This window comes from Homo sapiens, chromosome 13 (assembly GCF_000001405.40).
Source record: "Homo sapiens chromosome 13, GRCh38.p14 Primary Assembly".
NCBI classification, from domain to species: Eukaryota; Metazoa; Chordata; class Mammalia; order Primates; family Hominidae; genus Homo; species Homo sapiens.
The window spans coordinates 38,066,217-38,080,557 of NC_000013.11; the positions used below are offsets into that span (position 1 = coordinate 38,066,217).

Consider the following 14,341-nt stretch of genomic DNA (forward strand, 5'->3'; position numbering starts at 1 on the left):
GCTGTTCTGCAGACACTGCTGCTGATACCCAGGCAAACAGGGTCTGGAGTGGACCTCTAGCAAACTCCAACAGACCTGCAGCTGAGGGTCCTTTCTGTTAGAAGGAAAACTAACAAACAGAAAGGACATCCACACCAAAAACCCATCTGTACATCACCATCATCAAAGTAGATAAAACCACAAAAGTAGATAAAACCACAAAGATGGGGAAAAAACAGAGCAGAAAAACTGGAAACTGTAAAAAGCAGAGCGCCTCTCCTCCTCCAAAGGAATGCAGTTCCTCAACAGCAATGGAACAAAGCTGGACGGAGAATGACTTTGACGAGTTGAGAGAAGAAGGCTTCAGACGATCAAACTACTCCGAGCTACAGGAGGAAATTCAAACCAAAGGCAAAGATGTTGAAAACTATGAAAAAAATTAAGACGAATGTATCACTAGAATAACCAATACAGAGAAGTGCTTAAAGGAGCTGATGGAGCTAAAAGCCAAGGCTCGAGAACTATGTGAAGAATGCAGAAGCCTCAGGAGCCGATGCGATCAACTGGAAGAAAGAGTATCAGTGATGCAAGATGAAATGAATGAAATGAAGTGAGAAGGGAAGTTTAGAGAAAAAAGAATAAAAAGAAATGAACAAAGCCTCCAACAAATATGGGACTATGTGAAAACACCAAATCTACGTCTGACTGCAATACCTGAAAGTGACGGGGAGAATGGAACCAAGTTGGAAAACACTCTGCAGGATAATATCCAGGAGAACTTCCCCAATCTAGCAAGGCAGGCCAACATTCAGATTCAGGAAATACAGAGACCGCCACAAAGATACCCCTCGAGAAGAGCAACTCCAAGACACATAATTGTCAGATTCACCAAAGTTGAAATAAAGGAAAAAAATGTTAAGGGCAGCCAGAGAGAAAGGTCGGGTTACCTACAAAGGGAAGCCCATCAGACTAGCAGCGGATCTCTTGGCTGAAACTCTACAAGCCAGAAGAGAGTGGGGGCCAATATTCAACATTCTTAAAGACAAGAATTTTCAACCCAGAATTTCATATCCAGCCAAACTAAGCTTTGTAAGTGAAGGAGAAATAAAATACTTTACAGACAAGCAAATGCTGAGAGATTTTGGCACCACCAGGCCTGCCCTAAAAGAGCTCCTCAGGGAAGCACTAAACATGGAAAGGAACAACTGGTACCAGCTGCTGCAAAATCATGCCAAAATGTAAAGACCATCGAGACTAGGAAGAAACTGCATCAACTAACGAGCAAAATAACCAGCTAACATCATAATGACAGGATCAAATTCACACATAACAATATTAACTTTAAATGTAAATGGACTAAATCCTCCAATTAAAAGACACAGACTGGCAAATTCGATAAAGAGTCAAGACCCATCAGTGTGCTGTATTCAGGAAAGCCATCTCATGTGCAGAGACACACATAGGCTCAAAATAAAAGGATGGAGGAAGATCTACCAAGCAAATGGAAAACAAAAAAAGGCAGGGGTTGCAATCCTAGTCTCTCATAAAACAGACTTTAAACCAACAAAGATCAAAAGAGACAAAGAAGGCCATTACATAATGGAAAAGGGGTCAATTCAACAAGAAGAGCTAACTGTCCTAAATATATATGCACCCAATACAGGAGCACCCAGATTCATAAAGCAAGTCCTCAGTGACCTACAAAGAGACTTAGACTCCCACACAATAATAATGGGAGACTTTAACACCCGTCCGTCAACATTAGACAGATCAACGAGACAGAAAGTTAACAAGGATACCCAGGAATTGAACTCAGCTTTGCACCAAGCAGACCTAATAGACATCTACAGAACTCTCCACCCCAAATCAACAGAATACACATTCTTTCAGCACCACACCAGACCTATTCCAAAATTGACCACATACTTGAAAGTAAAGCTCTCCTCAGCAAATGTAAAAGAACAGAAATTATAACAAACTGTCTCTCAGACCACAGTGCAATCAAACTAGAACTCAGGATTAAGAAACTCACTCAAACCGCTCAACTGCATGGAAACTGAACAACCTGCTCCTGAATGACTACTGGGTACATAACGAAATGAAGGCAGAAATAAAGATTTTCTTTGAAACCAATGAGAACAAAGACACAACATACCAGAATCTCTGGGACGCGTTCAAAGCAGTGTGTAGAGGGAAATTTATAGCACTAAATGCCCACAAGAGAAAGCAGGAAAGATCCAAAATTGACACCCTAACATCACAAATAAAAGAACTAGAAAAGCAAGAGCAAACACATTCAAAAGCTAGCAGAAGGCAAGAAATAACTAAAATCAGAGCAGAACTGAAGGAAATAGAGACACAAAAAACCCTTCAAAAAATTAATGAATCCAGGAGCTGGTTTTTTGAAAGGATCAACAAAATTGATAGACCACTAGCAAGACTAATAAAGAAAAAAAGAGAGAAGAATCAAATAGACACAATAAAAAATGATAAAGGGGATATCACCACTGATCCCACAGAAATACAAACTACCATCAGAGAATACTACAAACACCTCTATGCAAATAAACTAGAATATCTAGAAGAAATGGATAAATTCGTTGACACACACACTCTCCCAAGACTAAACCAGGAAGAAGTTGAATCTCTGAATAGACCAATAGCAGGATCTGAAATTGTGGCAATAATCAATCGCTTACCAACCAAAAAGAGTCCAGGACCAGATGGATTCACAGCCGAATTCTACCAGAGGTACAAGGAGGAACTGGTACCATTCCTTCTGAAACTATTCCAATCAATAGAAAAAGAGGGAATCCTCCCTAACTCATTTTATGAGGCCAGCATCATCCTGATATCAAAGCCGGGCAGAGACACAACCAAAAAAGAGAATTTTAGACCAATATCCTTGATGAACATTGATGCAAAAATCCTCAGTAAAATACTGGCAAACTGAATCCAGAAGCACATCAAAAAGCTTATCCACCATGATCAAGTGGGCTTCATCCCTGGGATGCAAGGCTGGTTCAATATACACAAATCAATGAGTGTAATCCAGCATATAAACAGAACCAAAGACAAAAACCACATGATTATCTCAATAGACGCAGAAAAGGCCTTTGACACAATTCAACAACCCTTCATGCTAAAAACTCTCAATAAATTAGGTATTGAATGGACATATCTCAAAATAATAAGAGCTATCTATGACAACCCCACAGCCAATATCATACTGAATGGGCAAAAACTGGAAGCATTCCCTTTGAAAACTGGCACAAGACAGGGATGCCCTCTCTCACCACTCCTATTCAATACAGTGTTGGAAGTTCTGGCCAGGGCAATTAGGCAGGAGAAGGAAATAAAGGGTATTCAATTAGGAAAAGAGGAAGTCAAATTGTCCCTGTTTGCAGACGACATTATTGTATATCTAGAAAACCCAATTGTCTCAGCCCAAAATCTCCTTAAGCTGATAAGCAACTCCAGCAAAGTCTCAGGATACAAAATCAATGTACAAAAATCACAAGCATTCTTATACTCCAATAACAGACAAACAGAGAGCCAAATCATGAGTGAACTCCCATTCACAATTGCTTCAAAGAGAATAAAATACCTAGGAATCCAACTTACAAGGGACATGAAGGACCTCTTCAAGGAGAACTACAAACCACTGCTCAATGAAATAAAAGAGGATACAAACAAATGGAAGAACATTCCATGCTCATGGGTAGGAAGAATCAATATCGTGAAAATGGCCATACTGCCCAAGGTAATTTATAGATTCAATGCCATCCCCATCAAGCTACCAATGACTTTCTTCACAGAATTGGAAAAAACTACTTTAAAGTTCATATGGAACCAAAAAAAGAGCCCACATTGCCAAGTCAATCCTAAGCCAAAAGAACAAAGAGGCATCACGCTACCTGACTTCAAACTGTACTACAAGGCTACAGTAACCAAAACAGCATGGTACTGGTACCAAAATAGATATATAGACTGATGGAAAAGAACAGAGCCCTCAGAAATAATGCCGCATATCTACAACCATCTGATCTTTGACAAACCTGACAAAAACAAGAAATGGGGAAAGGATTCCCTATTTAATAAATGGTGCTTGGAAAACTGGCTAGCCATATGTAGAAAGCTGAAACTGGATCCCTTCCTTACACCTTATACAAAAATTAATTCAAGATGGATTAAAGACTTAAATGTTAGACCTAAAACCATAAAAACCCTAGAAGAAAACCTAGGCATTACCATTCAGGACATAGCATGGGCAAGGACTTCATGTCTAAAACACCAAAATCAATGCAACAAAAGCCAAAATTGACAAATGGGATCTCATTAAACTAAAGAGCTTCTGCACAGCAAAAGAAACTACCATCAGAGTGAACAGGCAACCTACAAAATGGGAGAAAATTTTCACAACCTACTCATCTGATAAAGGGCTAATATCCAGAATCTACAATGAACTCAAACAAATTTACAAGAAAAAAACAAACAACCCCATCAAAAAGTGGGTGAAGGACATGAAGAGACACTTCTCAAAAGAAGACATTTATGCAGCCAAAAAACACATGAAAAAATGCTCACCCTCACCGGCCATCAGAGAAATGCAAATCAAAACCGCAATGAGATAGCATCTCACACCAGTTAGAATGGCAATCATTAAAAAGTCAGGAAACAACAGGTGCTGGAGAGGATGTGGAGAAATAGGAACACTTTTACACTGTTGGTGGGACTGTAAACTAGTTCAACCATTGTGGAAGTCAGTGTGACGATTCCTCAGGGATCTAGAACTAGAAATACCATTTGACCCAGCCATCCCATTACTGGGTATATACCCAAAGGACTATAAATCATGCTGCTATAAAGACACATGTACACGTATGTTTATTGCGGCATTATTCACAATAGCAATACAAATGTCCAACAATGATAGACTGGATTAAGAAAATGTGGCACATATACACCATGGAATACTATGCAGCCATAAAAAATGATGAGTTCATGTCCTTTGTAGGGACATGGATGAAATTGGAAATCATCATTCTAAGTAAACTATTGCAGGGACAAAAAACCAAACACAGCATGTTCTCACTCATAGGTGGGAATTGAACAATGAGAACACACGGACACAGGAAGGCGAACATCACACTCCGGGGACTGTTGTGGGGTCGGGGGAGGGATAGCATTAGGAGATATACCTAATGCTAAATGTCACGTTAATGGGTGCAGCACACCAGCATGGCACATGTATACATATGTAACTAACCTGCACATTGTGCACATGTACCCTAAAACTTAAAGTATAATAATAATAAAAAAATAAAAATAAAAATACAAAAAAATAAAAAAAATTAAAAAATAAAAATAAATAAAGATCTTGTTCCATTAATTTTGAGCTTTCATTACTGCTATTAAAAATTTATTTGTTGTGGCCAGGTGCAGCGGCTCAAGCCTGTAATCCCAGTACTTTGGGAGGCCGAGGTATGTGGCTCACCTGAGGTCAGGAGTTTGAGCTCAGTATGACCAACATGGTGAAACCCCGTCTCTACTAAAAATACCTAATTAGCCCGGTGTGATGGCGGGTGCCTGTAATCCCAGCTACTTGGGAGGCTGAGGCAGAAGAAATGCTTAAACTTGGGAGGTGGAGGTTGCAGCAAGCTAAGATCACGTCAGTGCACGCCAACCTGGGCAACAAGAGGAAAACTCTGTCTCAAAAAAAAAAAAAATGAGTTTGTCATTATTATTGTTGCTTTGAAGGAAATGATTTTTTTTTCTGGCTGTTGCTTTTGCTTTAAGTTGTTGGTTGTGTTTATCCTGATACGCCTTAGTGTGGTTTACTTTGTGCATATTCCAACTAAGGTTTATTGAAGTTCTCAAATCTGTACTTTAATAACTTTCTTCAGCTTTGGAGAATATTTGGTGACTTTCCGTATTTCTTCTGTCATATTATTTTCCTCTTTTCTCATTTTAGAACTTAATTAACATATATTAAATTTTCTCATTGTATCTTATATAAGCTCTTACACTCTGTTCTAAACAATCTATGGAATTTTTCTCTACAAGGATTCTGGATTTTTTTGACTTTCTTGTCTTCCAGTTTATTAATCAATTAGTCAACACTTCTATTTCATTTAATCTTCTATTAAAAACAACTATTAACTGAAATTAAGAAGATTATCTACTTAGATTCTTAGAATCCCACCCTATATTTCAAATAATGGCAAAAAAAAAAGAAGGGAAAACCAACTGTGAGTCACACTAATTATGCTTTGTAAATTTTTTGTATTTTTAATGTTTTCACATATTAGGGTCTTGCTGATCCTGGACAGACTGCTTCTCCCAAGATTTATCAATTCCCAAAGATACAAAGAACTCACATGCAAACATGCTTTTCAAAGGCAAACTAAACTAACCCAGAACCCATATCCCCAACCACATTTTAAAATCATGCTCTCACAGTCTGGGCCATGATTTCCTTGCCCTAATTACCCCAGAGCCAGATACCAGACAACTAGGAAGAGCTCCTACACAATGGAGCCTGCCAAAATTGCTCAAACTAGCCAATTCTAAGCCTGCTTACACTACCTTGCCCATTTCTTCCTGCAAAAACCACAATAAAAGCTCTTGCCTGCATTTTCAGCACAGTCCATCTTCCTCCTGACCAACCTTGGTGCTTTTCCATGTGTCTCCCCCATAGTGTCATGTGTCCCTTTCCCTTTGGATCTGGAGTTATAATAACCTTTGGCAGTTGTCTCCTGGTCTTTTGGTCTCATCATACCTAGGCAAATAAATAAAACTTGCATTTTCATACATGTGTTGAGGTCATTTATCCACACATCTCTTCACATTAGAATCCTAACCTCTAGAGACCCAATTTCTCTGGCTCCACTCCTGTGAAAATAACAAAAGCTCTGGTATTGTCTATGCCCTCTAGAAGAAGGCTTCTGTCAGAGTACTTCAGACAGAAGTTCATCCACTTGCTGTTTTCTCATATTTGAAAAATGTGTCAAGAAAACAGAAGCTAGAGAAATTCTGTCTACCTCTACAGTCATTTCCAATGTTCTGCATTGTTATCTAATTTTTTTCCATGTACCTAAATCAAACATATAAGTCTATTACCATTTCTCCCATACACTTTAAATACTTGCCAATTGCAGAATCCAGGGTGTCATCTTCCATATAACCCCATTCCCATCTACCACATATGAAAATGTTAGTAAATCCAGCTTTTCAGGGGTTCTTAGGACCCACGATTATGACTAGCATTGGGATCCTTGTTGCCGTCTGATAGGTGAATAATGCAACTTCTGGATCCTATTCTCAGGATATATTATCTAGTCCTGTTTCAGCTTTCAGTTTACAGTATATATTTTCTCCTAATAAATGGCAATAGTTTGTTCCATTTATATTAATAATTGATGGTATCACAGATTTTCAGTTAAGAGAAATATACAGATCCTAATATTCACAGGTATGCTTGAGAAATTAATATGGAAGTCTTGTACATCTCATACTTATGACATATTCCTGCAATTTTCTTTATCCCTGTAGCATCACGTTGATATTTTTACTATGTGCAATTAATATTGAGATACATTTTGGCATTCTATCACAGTTTGCTGCACCAGGCAATTCATTAGCACTGGAAATTTGGTGTTCCTGAACATATTCAGTAGCCACTTTAAAATTAACATTTAAAATGTCTCCTTGCTACAGACAGGAAATATTATTCATTACATGATATTTTGCATTGATTGCACATCTTAACTTAAAGGGTGAGATTCCCCTGATAGATTATGGACATGGATCCTTGAAGTCTCAGCTTAAGAGCTAGGAAATGACACTCTGGTAGTTAGCCATTATTCTGCAAAATGTAACCTATACTTGGAACCAAGAGACATCATATAATGCTGCATTCCTGGTTGCTGGAATTCCAAGAAATTGCCCTTCTCAGAAAGATTTCCATTGACATATGTGGCTAATATATGCTTCTTGTCTCCACAACTTAATGCCCTTCTGGCTTTGAGTTTCTGGCTCCTGGTGGGAGATAATACCACGAGATGACATAATGTTTCACTAAACATAAAGCTGCAGTTGCTATATCTGGGTCTTCCCATGTTAATAGGCTGGTAGGAAAATAAATGAGTTATTTTACTGGAATAAATAATTTACTCAGTATGGGGGCGTAAGTTTACAGTTCGATAATGGGACAAGGCTGAGTATTCTGGAATGCGAAGTATTCATTGGGGTGAGTCTTGCTTCTTACATGACCACTGAAAAGTATAAATAGAAAATTGAGAAATTTTACCCCCAAAAATCATGGTAACCAGGGATGTGGATCATCCAGGGAAGAAAATCTGAATTGTTAATTCACAAGTCAGACCTTTCAGATAAACTAAAATTCTGGCTACTGTTGAGTAGAGAATGGGTGACATAAAACGGGCATAAAGATGATCAGTTCTATTAAGGTTGCTATATTTGCTGCCCATAATATATTAATAATTATTAGTGGAAACAAATGCTTTTAAATTCAGAGGAAAAAAAGGATACATAAGAACTGCAGAATGAGTATTATAATCACTTAATGAACTACAACATGCAAGACAGATGAAATGATTAACTCGGATGTGATTTAAATCTCTATTAATGCTGCCACCTAGTAAACATGATTTAAAATATCCAATAGCAGACACTTATTAAGAATCAATGTTTCTGCTGGACACTTTGCTGGTTTTTGTGGACATAAAGGTAACTTACACATCATTTCTTCTGTCACGTCGGAAACTGTGGCTAAATTTTTTTATGAATTTTATCCTTGCTGTCACATTTATTGACAGGAATTCAAATGGCAAGGAAGTACAGAAAAGACTGTCACTACAGTATTTACCTGGAACTCATGTTCTTTATGCTTTAGCAAAATGCATGATGATATTCAAGATATTTGACCATATAATTATTTCTTGTACAAACTGTTACAGCTACTACACCTGAAGCTGTCCTAGTATGAATGACTTTATCACTGAAGATAAACAGAAATATTTTGGTTTACAAATACTTCATATGTGAAATGAAATATATGAATAAGATGATTGTATCTAAACATTTTGGTTTCTCAAAACAAAGTCTGAGACAAAGATTTGACTACAGGTGGTTTATTTGTGATGCATTTTAAGAAGTAACATTAAGTGAGCAGACAGCGGAAGAAAGGGAAAAAGCAAAAGCACTTAAAGCATTTAAAGAATATGCTATCGGCCAGGCATGGTGGCTCATGCCTGTAATCCCAGCACTGGGATTCATGAAGAATGAGAAATGGTGAATGAATGAAACATCCATAAACTTTTCAAAGATACAACTCTAGGGTGCATATTCACTGTTCTGGAGGGTCCCCAGTGGATGAGTTTTCATAGAAATGGTCAAGTTGATAACATCCTTCCTTTCCTTCTTTTTTTTTTTTTTTTTTTTTCAGAGTTTTGCTCTTGTTGCCCAGGCTGGAGTGCAATGGAGCGATCTCGGCTCACTGCAATCTCTGCCTCCTGGGTTCAAGCGATTCCCCTGCCTCATCCTCCTGAGTAGCTGGGACTACAGGCATGAGCCACCATGCCTGGCTAATTTTGTATTTTTAATAGAGATGGGGTTTCTCCATGTTGGCCAGGCTGCTCTCAAACTCCCGACCTCGGGTGATCCACCTGCCTCAGCCTCCCCTTTGATCACATACAAAACCAACATAAGAAGGCTCCTACAGGTAAGCAGAAGAAGGTAGACTGGCTATGGACCTCAAGGCCCAAGACACTATACCGTGGTGAATTCTCTAGGATTTATTTTTGATTCATATATACCAAACTTGGAGTCAAAAAAACTGGCAGCCCAGAAACACCAACAGGCAAAGACAAGAAGACAAAAATCCCTGCTTTCTCTAGAGAAATGGCAGGTTATTAAGGCCACAGACTTTTAGTCAATAACCTCACTACTACAGCCTGATGCCACAGAAAGAAAAACATGAGCCTACCCCATCCCTACCTACACTGCTAAAGGTTGCATGGGGAGGTTACACAGCTACAGTTTAGAGGCTGTGACAAGGTGCTCTAACCCCAACAGAAGATTCTCAGAGAAAGCCAAGTAGAAAGCCAGGACGTACATTGCTACTGGCCAATAGTGAGTCAGCAACCCCATTCCCCGTATTAGTTGACACAACTGACATGAGCTTCTACCTTCACCCAGCAGCAATGAGAATCTCTCACCTCTTTCTGAAAGGGTGCTGACAGCACAGGCCAGGTGGAGAGTTAATATTTTCACCACTAACAGTAAAGAGGTCACCCCAACCACACTGTTAGTGGAGGCTTTATGGTGAGTAGGAACTCCTACACCCACCCACTCCCCTTCATGTGATTGCAGCAGCCAGTGGGGAAGATGGATTTCTACCTCTAGCTGGTGGTAACAAGGTGGCATCCCCAGCTTTATATGCAAGAATGGTGTCATAGAAAGTTATATCACAAGAAGAGCCACTGAAGAGATAGAGAAAACAGTCCTGAATCTCTGATACCACCCCTCTCCCACCCCCAGTAGCAGCAGCATGGTGCAAAGAATGGCTTTGGACACTGAGGAGGGAGGGAGAACACACCAGTTGTGAGGCATTGAACTCAGTGCTGTCCTGTAAGAAAGAAAGGAAAATCAGACCAATCTCAGCTGATGCCCACCCATGGTGCGAGTATTTAAACCAGCCCTAGCCAGGGGAAATCACTTATCCCAGCAGTCTGAACTTGAGTTCCCACAAACCTCATCACAGAGGGCTGTGTTACTCTACTCCCAGCATTAGGTAGCTCAGAACAGAGAGAGAGAGACTCTATTTGTTTGTGAGAAAGTAAAGGAAGAGAATAAGAGTCTCTGCCTGGTAATCCAGAGAATTCTCCCAGATCTTGTCCAATACTATCAACGCAGTACCTCTATGAGTCTGAAGAAGCCACAGCATGACTGGGCTTTGGTGCCCCCTGAAGCAAATACAGCTTGGATTACAACACCCAAGTGCTTTCAAATATCTGGAAAGCCTTCCTATGAAGGATGGCTACAAGTAAGTGCAGACAGTGATGACTACAATAAATACCTAACTCTTCAATGCCCAGACATCAAAGAACATGTACTAGCATCAACACCATCCAGAAAAACCTAACTTCACCAAATGAACTTAAGGAGGCACCAGAGACCAATCCTGGAGAAACAGAGATATGTCACCTTTCTGAAAGAGAATTAAAAATAGCTGTATTGAGGAAACTCAAAGAAATTCAATATAACAAAAAGAAGGAATTCAGAATTCTATCAGATAAATTTAATATAAGAATCAAAATAATTAAAAAGAATCAATCAGAAATTCTGGAGCTGAAAAATGTAATTGGTATACTGAAGAATGCTCCACAGTCTTTTAATAGTAGAATTGATTGAGCAGAAGAAAGGATTAGTGAACTTCAAGAAAGATTATTTGAATATGAACAGTAATAGGAGACAAAAGAAAAAAAATAAAAAACAATGAAGCACACCTAATGGATCTAGAAAATAGCCTCAAAAGGGCAAATCTAAGAGTTATCGGCATCAGAGAGGAGGTGGAGAAAGAGAGATGGATGGAAAGTTTATTCAAAGGGATAATAACAAAGGATGCGCCAAACCTAAAGAAAGATGCCAATATGCAAGTACAAGAAGGTTATAGAACACCAGAATATTTAACCCAATGAAGACCACCTCAAGGCATTTAATAATAAAACACCCAAAGTCAAAGATAAAGAATGGGTTCTAAAAGCAGCAGGAGGAAAGTAACAAATATCATACAATGGAACTCCCATGCATCTGGCACCAGACTTTTCAGTGGAAACCTTACAGGCCAAGAGACAGTGGCATGACATACTTGAAGCGCTGAAGGAAAAAACTATTATCCTAGAAGAGTATATCTGGCAAAAATATCCCTCAAACATGAAGGAGAAATAAAGACTTTTCCACACAAACAAAAGCTGAGAGTTTTCATCAACACCACACCTTTTCAACAAGAAATAGTAAAGGGAGTACTTCCATCAGAAAGAAAAGGACATTAATGAGCAGTAAGTAATCACCTGAAGGTACAAAACTTACTGTTAATAGCAAGTATGCAGGAAAACACAGAATATTATAACATTGGAACTGTAGTTTTATCCTTATCCTAAGTAGACAGACTAAATGATGAACCAATTGAAAATAATAATTGTAACAAATTTGCAAGATATGGTCAGTACAGTAAAATATAAAGAAACAACAAACAGTTAAAAAGCAAAGGGATGAAATTAAGATGCAGAATTCTTATTAGGGATTTTTTTTGGCTTGTTTCTTTGTTTCTTTATGCAAACAGTGCTAAGTTGTTATCAGGTTAACAAAATGGATTATAACGTAGTATTTGCAAGCCTCACAGTACCGTCAAACCAAAAAACATACAATAGAGACACAAAAAATAAAAAGCAAGAAACTAAAATTACATCCCTAGAGAAAAATTATGTTCACTAGAGGAAAGAAAGAAAAAAGTAAAAAACTTATAAAACAACCAGAATACAAGTAACAAAAAGGCAGAAGTAAGTCTCTACTTATCAATAATAATATTGAATGTAAATGGACTGAACTCTCCGATCAAAGGCATAGACTGGCTGAATAAATGAAAAGCAAGACCTATTGATCTGTTGCCTACAAGAAACACACTTCACCTATAATGACACACTAAACTGAAAATAGAGAAATAAAAAAAAAGATTTCATGACAATGGAAACTGAACAAGAGCAGAAGTCACTATACTTATAGCAGACAAAATAATTTTCAAGATAAAAACTGTAAGAGACAAAAAAGGTCACAATATAATAATAAAGGGGATAACTTAGTAAGAAGATATAACAATTTTAAATATATATGCACCCAACACTGGAGCACCTACATATATAAAGAAAATAGTATTAGAGCTAAACAGAGAGATAGGACCGAAAACAATAGTAGCTGGAGACTTCAACACCCCACTTTCAGCATTGGACAGATCTTCCAGATAGAAAATCAACAAAGAAACATCAGACTTAATCTGCACCGTAGACCAAATGGATCTAATAAATATTTACAGAACATTTCATTTGACATGCTTTTCCTCAGCACATGGATCATTCTAACAGACAGACTACCTGTTAGGTCACAAAACAAGTCTTAAAACATATAAAAATTGAAATAATATCAAACATCTTCTCTGACCACAATGGAATAAAACTAGAAATTCATAACAAGAAGGATTTTGGAAACTATACAAACACATAGAAATTAAGTAACATGCTCCTGAGTGACCAGTGGGTCAATAAAGAAATTAAAAATAAAATTTAAAAACATTATGAAGAAAATGATAATAGAAACACAATCTAACAACCTATGGAATACAACAAAAGCAGCACTAACAGGGAAGTTTGTAACTATTAGTGTCTACATTAAAAATAAGGAAAAATTTCAAATGAACAATCCAATGATTCATATTAAAGAATTAGAAAAGCAAGAGCAAACTAAACCCCAAATTAGTAAAAGAAATAATAAAGATCGCAGCAGAAATAAATCAAATTAAAATTTAAAAAATACTTTTTTGAAAAGTTGAGCAAAATTGACAAACCCTTAGCCAGACTAAGAAAAAGAGAGATGATCCAAATAAATTGAAAATGATAAAGGAGACATTACAACTGATACTACAAAATTTCAAAAGATCATTAGTGGTTAGTATGAGCAACTACATGCCAATACATTGGAAAATCTAGAAGAAATTCACAAATTCCTGGACACATACAACCTACTAAGATTGAACCATGAAGAAATTAAAAACCTAAATAGACAAATAGCAAGTAATGTGATCGCAGCTGTAGTAAAAAAGTCTCCCAGTAAAGGAAAGCCTGGGACCCGATGGCTTCACCACTGAATTGTACCAAACGTTTGAAGAAGAACTAATACCAGTGCTACTCAAGGTATTCCAGAAAATAGAGGAGGAGAGAATACTTCCAAACTCATTATGAGGCCTGTGTTACCCTGATACCAAAACAAGGCAAAGACACATCAGAAAAAGGAAAACTTCAGCAAACTGACACAAGAATAGAAAACCAAACACAGCAGGTTCTCACTTATAAGTGGGAGCTGAACAATGGGAACACATGGACACAGCGAGGGGAAAAACACATACTGGGGCCTGTTGGGGGATGGGATGAGAGGAGGGATTGCATTAGGAAAAATAGACAATGAATGGTGGGCTTAATATCTAGGTGATGGGTTGATAGGTGCAGCAAACCAGTAATGTCACACGTTTACCTATGTAACAAACCTGTACATCTTGCGCATATACCCC

At 37.9% G+C, this 14,341-nt stretch overlaps 1 long non-coding RNA gene across 1 annotated transcript in view; it reads right to left on the reverse strand.

Annotated features, from left to right (window-relative positions):
* Window positions 1–14,341, reverse strand: part of LINC00571 (long intergenic non-protein coding RNA 571) — a 92,416-nt gene that overhangs the window by 15,400 nt on the left and 62,675 nt on the right. The window lies entirely within an intron of this gene.